This window comes from Homo sapiens, chromosome 10 (genome assembly GCF_000001405.40).
Source record: "Homo sapiens chromosome 10, GRCh38.p14 Primary Assembly".
Taxonomy (NCBI): Eukaryota; Metazoa; Chordata; class Mammalia; order Primates; family Hominidae; genus Homo; species Homo sapiens.
The window spans coordinates 123,114,880-123,127,442 of NC_000010.11; the positions used below are offsets into that span (position 1 = coordinate 123,114,880).

The following is a 12,563-nucleotide window of genomic DNA, read 5'->3' on the forward strand; positions in this document are numbered from 1 at the left end:
ATTTAACCATTTGCTTATTTACATTTTATTGTATTACAAGTAATAATAGAATGTATGTCTGTGTATCGGTAGGTATGAGCGTGTGTTAAGAATCCAGCTATTTTTTTTTAGGATATACTGTATTCTAAAGGGAAACTCCTGGCTCAAGATGTTTGAATTTAAGAGCTCTTGATCCATACTGCCAAATTATTTTCTGGAAAACTTACACTGATTTATTCCCAATGGTGAGGTGTAAATATATCATTTACTTTTCATCCTCACCAGCATTAAGCATTAGCTTCTTTTCTTGGCTTCGCTAATTTAATAACAGACAGGTATTTCACTGATGTTTTAATATGCATTTATTAAATTCATAAAGATTATGATCTGCTCATTATTTCTGTGACTTGCTCCTTATATTCTTTGCCTAGACTTCTACACCTGTTAAATATTTTTGTAATGGCTCATAAATGTTTATTTATGTATTTATTTTGGAGACAAAGTCTCACTCTGTCACCCAGCCTGGAGTACAATGGTGCATTCATAGCTTACTGCAGCCTCAAACTCTTGGGCTCAAGCAATCCTCCCACCTCAGCCTTCTAAGTAGCTAGGACTACAGGTGTGCACCCACTCAGCTAAAATGGGGACTCGCTATGTTGTCCAGGCTGGTCTCAAACTCCTGGCCTCAAGCAGTGCTCCCACCTTGGCCTTCCAAAGTGTTGGGATTACAGATGCGAGCCACCATGCCTAGCCCTACATATGCAATATATATGTGTGTGTGTGTGTATATCTATATATCTATATATCTATATATCTATATATATCTTTTAGACAGAGTTTCACTCTTGTTGCCCAGGCTGGAGTGCAATGGTGTGATCTTTGCTCACTGCAACCTCCACCTCCTCGGATCAAGTGATTCTCCTGCTTCAGCCTCCCGAGTAGCTGAGATTACAGACATGTGCCACCATGCCGGCTAATTTTTTATATTTTTAGTAGAGATGGGGTTTCACCATGTTGGCCAGGCTTGTCTCAAACTCCTGACCTCGGGTGATCCCCTTGCCTTGGCCTCCCAAAGTGCTGGGATTATAGGCATGAGCCACTGTGCCTGCCCTTGCTTTTTATATATTAAGGATATTAACTATTTGTCTTATTTGTGGCAAGAAATTTTTCCAATGGTTTTTCTGTATTTGTAGGCATATTTTGGTTGCATATGAAGACCATAATTTTTTCTGAAAAATTCTAAACTTCCAATTTGATAATAGAAATAAATGCAGAATTTCTGGACTTGCTATGCAGACTCTCGATTTACAAAATCTGTTTCTTTCACAAAGTAGGTACAGGCTTAACTGACCATGATTTCTTCTACATAAAGTAACTTCTGAACTGAAGTCAACCTTTGTGAAAGACACAGAAGTCAGCTCTATGTCTACACTGACCTCCCCTTTTTGGAACTTTCTGTGTGCTTCCCTGTGGTTCTCATGCCTTCCCTCTCCACTGCCTTCCATTGGCCTTTGCTCTTACGTAAACTTCTTCCCATCTCACCTTAGTCCCTGCATTGGAGAAATCTTCCCTGCTTTGGGTGAATATTGTCTCTTATTTTCCTCCCTCTCTGTTAAATATCTGCTGTCAGAAAGGAAAGAGATGGCCCTTGTAGTCAGGCTGACCTGGGGTCAACTCCATGATTGCTGTGTGACCTCAGGCAAGGCCTCTGAGCCTCAGTTTCCCTCTTTGTAAAACATGATTATTGCAGGGTTTAGAGTTCAAGGGAGTCAGATCCAGCACAGAGCCTGGCTCAGTTAGCAGCTTCTTTTACGAGTTTGACTTCCTGAGTCCCTTTACATCGAATTTTTTTTTTTTTTTTTTTGAGACGGAGTCTCGTTCTGTCGCCCAGGCTGGAGTGCGGTGGTGCGATCTTGGCTCACTGCAAGCTCCGCCTCCTGGGTTCACACCATTCTCCTGCCTCAGCCTCCCGAGTAGCTGAGACTACAGGCGCCCGCCACCACACCCGGCTAATTTTTTGTATTTTTAGTAGAGACGGGGTTTCACCATGTTAGCCAGGATGGTCTCGATCTCCTGACCTCGTGATCTGCCCACCTCAGCCTCCCAAAGTGCTGGGATTACAGGCGTGAGCCACCGCGCCCAGCCTTCATCGAATTTTAAAGATCAGGAAAAGACATATCTTTTCCCCCAGAATTCTTCCCACTCCTCTGCACTGTAGCTGTTATTTATTAGCTAGGTAACTTGCCAGAGCACTTTCGGGTACAATGCTTATACTATACTATTAAAAGTGAAGTTTTCTTCTATTATTTAATAATGATTTTTTTTTGCTATTTTTAAATAATGAAAAATGTGTGAACTGTGTCTCTTGCCTTATTACCAGGTGCTCCATTACTGTAAATTGAAAAATAACAGTTTAGGGAGTAATATTCCTTCTTCAGGTTATACATCAAATATACGTCATCTTCATTGTTGAATTGATGCTTTAATCCCCCCATTAAGATACAAGCCGAAATAAATTTCATTCCCTTCTCTATAGATGCAATTTCATTTCGATCACGTGTCAGTTGGAGCAATAAAACATCAATTAAACAATGAATTCCTGACAAATACATGGCATTTGATGCATAATTACCTCCCCCACCCAATTTCATTTTCTTCAAGGCAAAGGCATCCTCAGCCCACTTATGTCCCAGGTTTCACCCCCTAAAATAGAGCATGAGCTTTGCACCTTTTTCCCCGCCCCCAGGACAGGAATCTTGGATGCAGCCCACCGAGGAGGAGCTGGGCTGGCAGGGATCTTCTTCTAATCATCATCTTGTTATTGAGATGAGTCTCGGGAGGCAAAAGCGTTGCACGACCCCACCGCCACCCCACCAAGGTGCAAGCCAGGGCTAGAGCTCAAGTGAGCTCACTTTCTGCCTCAGATTCATCCCAAGAAAGGCCAAGAATGCAGGGGGTGGGGTGCATGTCAGAGAAGTGAGGCTCCCTGGGGGTCCCAGCACCTGGCTGGGAGGTGGAGCATAGCAGCCCTTCTCTCCATTCCAAGCTCCCTGATGCATTCCACAAATAGGGTGGAGGGTTCTCTGTGTGCGGGGCTCTGTGCGGGTCCTGGGGACACTGGCTGTGTGTTCGGTGCCATGAGAGATGAATAAACCCAGTGCGGTGAGGGTAGGGGGAGAGGTGGAGCTCTGAGCCTGGGGAGCCTGGGGAGCCAGGGGAGGGACCTATGCGGGAACACCGGAAGCACGCCCCAAACGGAGTGTTGGATGGATCGGGACATTCGAAGTCAGTGACTGCTTCACCACCAGAGCCGCCACCCAGTGCCTGGACTGGGAGCAGCACTGCAGCAAGTCGGCCACCCGCCCGAGCTGGCAGGCAGGCCCCAAGCTGGACGGCCGAAACCATGATCCCAAGAACGCTAAATGTTTGGGGGCCGAGGCTGCCTCCTGGAACCTAACGGAGGCTCCTTTTTCAGGAAAGGCTGTCATTCGACTACAGTGTCTGGTGGAGGGGAGTGGAGGAGGGTGGAGGCGGGGGTGAAATGGGCCGTGCCTGAAGTGTCATTTAAGGGGATGTTTAACTTCCACTCCCTGTTTCTGAAGAGTAATTTTCGCAGAGACAGGAAGAATAATAGGAGGAACTTGGCTCATTTTGGCAAATTGCTCCAATTTTTCCACAATCTCAGCCCCCTGTATCACCTGCCCCCACCTGTCTATTTGGGCCACTTAATGCCCTGGATTCAGACCTAATAGAGGCTGTTTGTTTGGCCCTGGCTCAAAGGCTAGACTTGTTTTCAGGACAGAAGCTGGAAGAAAAACCAATCTGGACATCTAAATCACAGCCAGGACTCATTACATAAATGATATATTTACACAATTGATCCCTTTTCTACTGGGTAATTAATTCGGCATCAGAACCCTTAACGATTTAATTGTCATATGTTTAAACTGAAATGGTTGCCACAAATTTCCAAAGACAAGAAGCAGATTGAAGAGAGGGCCTTCTTTTGTCCTCAGAGTGGGGTGGCCTCCCTTCTTTCAATATTGCCATCAAAAGGAGAAAAACCTGCTGATAGCCCCAAAAGGGCTAACACGTGAGGACTGTGTCTGTTTGTGTGCATGCCTGTCTTGCCGGATTAGGCCATTTAAGGGATGAAGGGGCCAGGTGTGAAGAGAACTTAAATCCAGAAACGGTAGGTGGGGCCCTGCTTTCACACTGAATAGGACAGGCCTGTGCCTACCCAGATCCCCTGAATCCTGCTCATTCCATTCCACCTCTGCACCCCGGCACTGCTTGCTTCAGGCACTTCGGCTTCCCATGGCAAGCAGCTGTGACTGTTTTGGAGGACGACTGAAGCCATTTTCCCCTATGACCAGAGAGCCAGAGGAGCCTGGGAGCTCATGTTCCCCAGGGTGACCTTGACCACAGACTGCCTGGGAGCAGGAACATGAAAGGTCCAGCGCCCTTGCCTCTGAAAGGGACAACCCTGAGGCATGACTCGTCCATCAGGGCTCCCGGGAGGATCACGATGAATCCCCTCAACTGCAAAGCTGTGGTCAGGGGTTAGACAGGTTGGCTTCCCTTCCCTCCCTGCCCCGTGACCCCTGCCCCTTCCCAGTCTTCCTGGGGGCACTTCCTTAATAAACCAATCCTTCCCTCAGGGCCTTCTTTGGGGGAACCCGACTGAGGACAGCTACTCTCTAGCTGAGTGACGCTGGCAAGGCTCTTAACCTTCTCTGTGCCTCTGAGCCATGCTTCCTAATAGGGGGCACTTATGGAGTGTGTGCCAGGAAGCTGGCATGAAGGCACTTGCCACACTTTGTCTCACTTAATCCTCTCAGCAACCCCAAGAGGAAGCTACTTCCATTGTCCCCATTTGACAGATGAGGAGGTGGGGAGCAGAGGAGTTAAGCCCTTTGTCCATATTCACGCAGCCGGTGCAAGGGCTGAGTGTTTTGTGTCCCTCCCAAAATTCACGTGTTGAAATCCTAACCCTCAATGTGATGGTATTAGGAGGTGATGCCTTTGGAAGGTGATTAGGTCATGAAGATGGAACGCTCATGAATGGGATCAGTGCTCTTACAAAAGGGACCTCAGAGAGCTAGCCAGCCCTCTTGCCATCATGTGAGGACACCACAAGAGGATGGCCATCTGTAAGCCAAGAAGAGGGACCTCACCACATACCTGGCACCCTGATCTCAGACTTCCAGGCTCCAGAACTGTGAGAGAGAAAGAAACAAACCACAGGGTCTACGGTACTCAGCAGCCCAAACTGACCAAAACAGCTGGTGAGTGGCAGAGACAGGATTCAACCCCAGGCAATTCGGCTGCAGAGCGTACCGTTGACATCCCTCCCTCATGCATAGCACAGCCCACTCAGCAGAGATATGCTGAGGATCAAGAGAGAAGGTTGTGGAAGCACTGGTGACTCGCAGAGGGCCTGGGATCACCCCAGGACAAAGGAGGCCCACCTGGCACCTTGTCTCACCTTAATCCCTAGAGAATAAAGGGGAGAGTGTCCAGGTCTCAGGCATATTGCCACTGCCACGGTGCACACCTCATAGTTCTTCAGAGAAATGAAGTGACATGCCTTCCCCACTTATGTCCTGCAGCCTCTCCTGCCTCCGGAGGCTCCATGACCCATGGACACCTCTCCTCACACTCTCCTACTCACACACATATACACACATGGCCCCCAGAATGGCCAAGTTGGCCTGCTGTCTTTGTGGATTAAAAACATTTGTGCATACTCAGGAGGCTGAGGTGGGAGGATCACTTGAGTACAGGTGTTCAACACCAGCCTGGGCAACATAGCCAGACCCCTGTCTCCACAAACATTTTTTAAAAATTAGCCAGGTGCAGTGATGTGTGCCTGTAGTTTCAGCTACTCTAGAGGCTGAGGTGGGAGGATTTACTTGAGCCCAGTTTGAAGTTGCAGGGAGTATGATCGCACCACTGCACTCCAGCCTGGGTGACAGAGCAAGACCCTATCTCTAAAACAAAAACAAAAACAAAAAACAATAAGAACAACAAAAAACATCTGTGCAACATAAGGGAGTAGAGGCTTTGTCCTAATGTCATGACCAACATTTGGTGAAAGATAGAACAGGCATGAGGTCAGCCAAGGAGGCAGCGGTGGGGGTTTGATGGACCAGGGGGCCCTTGGCCAGTTCTATCTTCCTAGATTTTTTGTGACTCTGCAAACCCAGTTAACTGCTGAAGTGTAATATCCCAAGCTTTTGGCTTCATACCTATGGGCGTTGTCTACCAGGGATATGGTATAGCACAGGTGTGTCCAATCTTTTGGCTTCTCTGGGCCACAGTGGAAGGAAAAGCATTGTCTTGGGCCACACATAAAATACACTAACACTAGCAATAGCTGGTGAGCTAAAAAAAAAATCTCGTAATGTTTTAAGAAATTTTATGCATTTGTGTTGGGCAGCATTCAAAGCCACCCTGGGCCACGGGTTGGACAAACTTGGTATAGCATAAGTTTAAGAGCATGCGCTTAAAATCAGATAATGTACATGAAATGTTTAGCACCACGACAGGCTCCTGCTGTAAAACACACATGCTACAAATATTCTAAGGGGGTTGTTAGTCATATACACTTTAGTAAGAATCAGTAAAACTCTTCCCAAATTGACAGATAGGTGACATTAAGTTCTTAAGCTACCCTAATCAGAAAATGGAAATTTAGTAATAGAAAGACACACAGAGTCCAAAGACAAAAATGCAGCCAGGCCTCAGGAGGTGAGTAGAACCAAGTTCAAGAAAGTCCTCAGGGGCAGCCAGCCCCTCTACACTGGACGTTTTCTTACTTCTCTTTCTCCAGATCTACTTTTTCTGTTTCATTGTGCATATGGTGAGTAAAAGGTGTCCAAACATTTCCAGCCAGTGGGCATTATCATGTGTTACTGGGGATGAGAGAGAGAGGGAGAAGGAAGATCAATTCCCAGGAAAGGAGATGTCTCAACAAATTGAGAGCCATTCATGCTAGAAGTGAGAGCATAGAGGCCATGGGCATGAGGGAAGGCAGTGTGGCTTGCAAACAGAATGCTGTGCAATACTTGGAGTTCGTATCCCTGTGCCCCACTTCACTTATAGCTTTGGTTCCTTGGGCAGATTGGTCAGCCTCTGCTTTCCCAGATGCAATCCTCCAGAAAGATTAAGATGTGAGAGTACTGAATGAGATAGCATTCATGCAACGTGTGCCTCACACTACGCCTGCCCTCAACAGATGCCCAGGACATTTTGATGAAAGAGTGATGAAGGAAAAGGTCACTTTTTTTGCTTAAGGCTTACCCTGATCACTAGGCTTAATCTCTAGGTTTGGCAATCTGGAAATAAAATCTATAGTTGAAGTCAAATTATGTGGGAGGCTAAACACTAGAATTATTAAGTAAGAGAATTGTTCTACAATAGTATAGTATTTTTACAATTGCCCTTTTAAGAAACAGCATACCATTACCATTATTTTTTCCAAGTCAGAAATCTTGTTTATTTCATTTACTAATTTGTCTTCCCCACCAGAATGCGAATCTCAGGAGATCAGGACCCTCTGTCCTGTCCATCTGTCTCCCAGGGGATATGCTAGAGCCTGGCACTCAGAAACTACTTGATACATTTTCATTTTAGAGTGTGTGCCCAGGGTTGACTCATAGTGACAGTGGAACACCAAGTGGTGATGTGATAGTGACCTGGTTGACAAAATAGGGACCAGGTAGAGCTGGACACAGAAACATCACAAATCACTACAGTTTTAGGACATTTATATGTTTTAACAGAAAATACCTGCATTAGAGTTTTGAAATTATAATTTATATGCACACATATATATATAAACACACCAGCAGGTCATTTGTTCAGCATTATGCTTGAAACTTCAGAAATATTATTAATCTAGAATGGGTCAGGCCAAAAATATTCCAGATAAACTACTGTCCATCCTATACTATTATTTTCTCTTAATCTGATTATTCTCTATTCCACATATTTAAAACCAGATTCATCATGATTACCCTCTGTATCAATCAGCTCGTGCAGTGTAACAAACCATCTCAAACTCAGTGGCTTAAAGTAACAACCATTTATAACTACTCTCGTGAGCTGGCTGATCTAAGCTCAGTTCTGCTTCAGGCTGAGTGTCCAACTGGCCTTGGCTCCTCACCAAGGATTGGGCTTAGTTCTGTTTAGTCTGAGGCCCATCCTAAAATGACAGCAGCTACCCCAGGGAAATTCTCTTCATCACTATGGCACAGAAGGGCAAGGTCCATCATACAAGTACATGTCAAGCCTCTACTTGCAACATGCCTGCCACCATCTCATTGACCTAAGCAGATCAGGTGGCCAAGCCTGAAGTCAGGATTGGTCAGGTACAATTGCCCATTATTAGACCAAAGCAAGTCCAGGGCCAAGCTTCATATCAATGGAGTGGGAGGTGCAATCCTCCCACGGGGCGGGGAGAGGGGGGATGTGTGTGTGGCTGTTTTGAATAGCTATTTAACCTGTCACATATTCAAACCAAGTTTTCCTCTTATGTTCCCCAAACTATTGTGTTTTCTTAGTTCTAAGATATATGTGCTTTTATATTTACCATTTCTAAAAATGGGATATGAACTACACCTAATATATGCATTTATTGTAGTGATTTCTTTTTTTTCTTTTACCTGAAAAGCTGTAATTGAATTGATGGTGCATCTTGAGATTGATATTGTTTTTAGAAGTGTAGACATTATGTATTTATTTATTTTAAATTCTATTTGATTGGGGTAAGAACACTTAGTATGAGACCTACTCTCTTAACAAAATTTTAAGTGCACAATACAGTATTGATAACTATAGGCATGATGTTGTACAGCAGGTCTCTAGAATTGATCTTGCTTAACTGAAATCTTAGGCCCATTGATTAGCAACTTCCCATTAGACCCTAACCCCAGCCCCTGGAAAAATAAAATAGGGAACGCCATTTTACTCTTTTATTTATTTTTATTTTTTGAGATGTAATCTCGCTCTGTCACCCAGGCTAGAATGCAGCAGCGTGATCTCGGCTCACTGCAACCTCTGCCTCCCAGGTTCAAGCAATTCTCCTGCCTCAGCCTCCCCAAGTAGCTGGTACTACAGGCACGCGCCACCACGCCCGGCTAATTTTTGTATTTTTAGTAGAGACAGGGTTTCACCATATTGGCCAGGCTGGTCTCGAACTCCTGACATCAGGTCATCCGCCCACCTTGGCCTCCCAAAGTGCTTAGATTACTCACGGCATGAGCCACCGTGCCTGGCCTCTATTTCACTCTTTGCTTCTGTGCATTTGACTATTCTGGATACCTCATATAAGTGGAACAATGCAGTATTGGCCTTCTGTGACTGGCTTATTTCACTCAGCATAATGTCCTCCGGGTTCATCCATTTTGTAGCATGTGTCAGAATTTCCTTCCTTTTTAAGGCTGAGTAATATTTGCAGTATCTACCATGTTTCGTTTATCCATTCATCTATTAATGGATATTTAGGTTGTTAACGTATCTTGGCTATTGAGAATAGTGCTGCAATGAACATGAAAGTCCTAATATCTCTTCAAAATCCTAATTTCAATTCTTTTGGATAAATACCCAGAAGTGGCATTGTTGGATCGTAGGTAGTTCTACTTTTAGTCTTTTGAGGAGCTTCCATATTGTTTTTCTGTGATGGCTGCACTATTTTTGTGTTCCCACCAACAGTGCATAGGGCTCTCATTTCTCCATATCCTGGCCAGCACTTGTCCTTTGTTTTCCTTGAGAATAGCCATTCTAACAGGTGTGAGGGGCTATCTCGTTGTGGTTTTCATGTGCATTTCCCTGATGATGAATGACATTGAGCTTCTTTTCATACATCCGTTGGCATTTGCACATCTTTCTTTGGAGAAATGTCCATTCAAGTCCAAATTGGCAATTTACGACCCTCCTCCTGAATGTTCTTATCTCAAGCACCTTCAACTCCTCCCTCTCCCTGACTCCCATGGCTAATTAGTCACTAGTCCTGTGACTCTGCCTTCTCAGTGACCCTCCGATCCAGTTTCCTCTTCCATTCTCAGGGCCATTTCCCTGGCTCATATCCTCATGCACTCTGCTCTGAACTGTAGCCATAAACTCCTGCCTGGTCTCCCAGTCACCAGACTCTCCCTGCTCCCATCCAGCCTCACTCCATGGCAGATTTATCTTCATGAACTACAGCTTTGATCCTGCAGTCCCCTTACTTCCACATCTTCTCTGGCTCCCCATTGCCACAAGAATATCCCAGCTCCCTAGCCTGGTATTAGGATTCTCATGACTTGGAGACAACTTCCATTCTCACTGTCCCATCTCTCACACAGACTGTGCTCCAAGTATAGGAGAGGGCCAACCCCATTGTGCATTTGCAAGTCTCTGTGTCTCCAAACATGCTGCCCCCTCTGCCTGCTGCCTGGAATACACTCTCCTCTCTCTCCCATCTGTGCTTATTGAAAGCTCCATCTTAGAGACCTACACCATATCTCTGTGATAGCACTTATCCTGTTCTGACTTGACTTTTTAGCTTTCTGTAGCCTCTGTCTGGATCCTGCCCTAGATAGTAAAGTCCCAGAGAGCAGAGACTATATCTCAATTGAATTCTTGCCCCCTTACAGGGTTTTAACACATGGTGGGTGCCTGTACATGTTTTCCAAATTAGATTCTATTTTTAGCACTCTAGTCACCCCATATTCCAGACAAACAACGCACACCCCTGGTGGGATCAACATGCAAACCACGCAGATCACAGCATCCTGTGCATTTAAAGATAATCAGTTTATCTGATTGGTCATTACAATCCTTTCACAGTTTTAGAAAACATTTATGTCTTTCAGGGACAGATCTGCAGGGCTAGAGTTGCTCTTGGGCCTCCCATTTACGGAGAAAATTGGGGCAAACTCTTGTGTTGAAGTGACATCGTCCGTGCTGCCATTCCTGAGAAGACCAGCCTTATCGAAGGTCAGTTATGAACTGTGAGTATGAGAATGCTGTCCTCTTTCAATTCTGTCCAATCTACAGGAGTTTCTACAGGAAATGAGAAAAGCACACTACAGAATCATAGCACTTTCAGGCTGGATCTATCTACTGCAGCATTTCACTTTATGGATGAGGAAACAAGGAAAATTGAGCTCTTCAGAGGCAAAGGAGTCAGCCAAGCCACACAGGTGGCCAGTGATGAGCAGGACTGACCCATATTCAGCCTTCAAGCACTTCCCCTGTGTTAGGGACTGAATATCTGTGTCCCCTCTCCCAAAATTCATATGTTGAAATGTAATCTCCAATATGATGGTATGAGGAGGTGGGGCCTTTGGGAGGTGACTTGGTCATGAAAGTGGAGCCCTCAGGAATGAGATCTGTGTCCCTCTAAGAAGAGATACTGAGTGATTATATCTCTCTCTTCACCATATCAAGTTGCAACAAGAAGGTGGCCATCTGCAAACCAGGAAGACAGCCCTCACCAAGAACCCAACCATGCAGGCACCCTGATCTCAGACTTCCAGCTTCCAGAACTGGGAGAAATCAATGTTTGCTGTTTAAGTCACTCAGTCTCTGGTATTTTTGTTATAGCAGCCTACACTGGCTGAGACACACTGTCGCTGCCCTCCTGCCCTCTGTCCAGCCTTAACGTTTTGACAGTTGCCATTTACTGAGCATTTATTAGGCGACAGATTCCATGCTGGGCATTCTGCACACACGACCTCATTTCAGCCTCACAACTCCCCCGACAAGTGGCCTGTCATTTAGACAAGGGGCCTGAGACTTAACAGAAGTGAACAGCTTGCTAAAATTCATATAACCTGTAAGTGGCAGAGTTGGAATCTAAAGCAAGCTCTGTCTGATTCTAAAGCATTTATTCAGTAACTGCTTCCCACTTTCCAACCCAATTCCTATTCCCTGGCAAGTCCATTAGAACCCACACCAGGAGGAAAGAATTTTCTTTCATGACATCTCGGAAAAACTGAACCCTGTATGAAGATCTCAGCACAATCTGGCAGCCTCTCCGCAGCTAAGGGCCTGGTACCAATTTCTAATCAATGGATTTGAGCCAAGTTGTCAGGGAGGGTAAAGGCTTGGCAAACTGGATGAAGGAGATGATAGCAAGTTGCTTAGTATCCCTGGGCCTTAGTATTTGTTTTTGTTTTGTTTTCTGAAAGGGAATAATAGAGACCCCTGACCACAGAGTCAGGAGGAAGATGTGGGAGACTGAGTGAGAAAGTGCTTTTCAAAGTATATGCCTGACACTTACATGAGGCACATCAGGGGTGACCTGAGCAGTTCTAGGTACACCAGGATCCCCTGTGGGATGCTCAGCTTTCACCCTACACAGCTCCTTGCTTCCTGTTGTCATATGAATCTCTGTCACCTGGTTTTTCCCCTGTGTGTAGAAGGGAACAGAAATATATCCTATGGTCCATAATTCTACTCCTAGAGATGCTGAACAGAAATGCACACATATGTTTGTTAGAAAATATATATCTATCAGTTGTATGTATAACTGCCCCACACTGGAAACCGCCAATAAGTCTATCAAAAGCAAAATGAGTAAATACATTTTGTTG

The 12,563-nt window shown here is 45.3% G+C and overlaps 2 annotated features.

The window, feature by feature from the left end:
• Positions 3,872-4,373: an enhancer, noted in NCBI's record as "H3K4me1 hESC enhancer chr10:124878267-124878768 (GRCh37/hg19 assembly coordinates)". NCBI's record gives its function as "activates a minimal SCP1, AML or CMV promoter by ChIP-STARR-seq in naive H9 embryonic stem cells {active_cell/tissue: H9 hESC(naive)}" and the evidence as "EXISTENCE:reporter gene assay evidence [ECO:0000049][PMID:30033119]".
• Positions 4,374-4,873: an enhancer, noted in NCBI's record as "H3K4me1 hESC enhancer chr10:124878769-124879268 (GRCh37/hg19 assembly coordinates)". NCBI's record gives its function as "activates a minimal SCP1, AML or CMV promoter by ChIP-STARR-seq in naive H9 embryonic stem cells {active_cell/tissue: H9 hESC(naive)}" and the evidence as "EXISTENCE:reporter gene assay evidence [ECO:0000049][PMID:30033119]".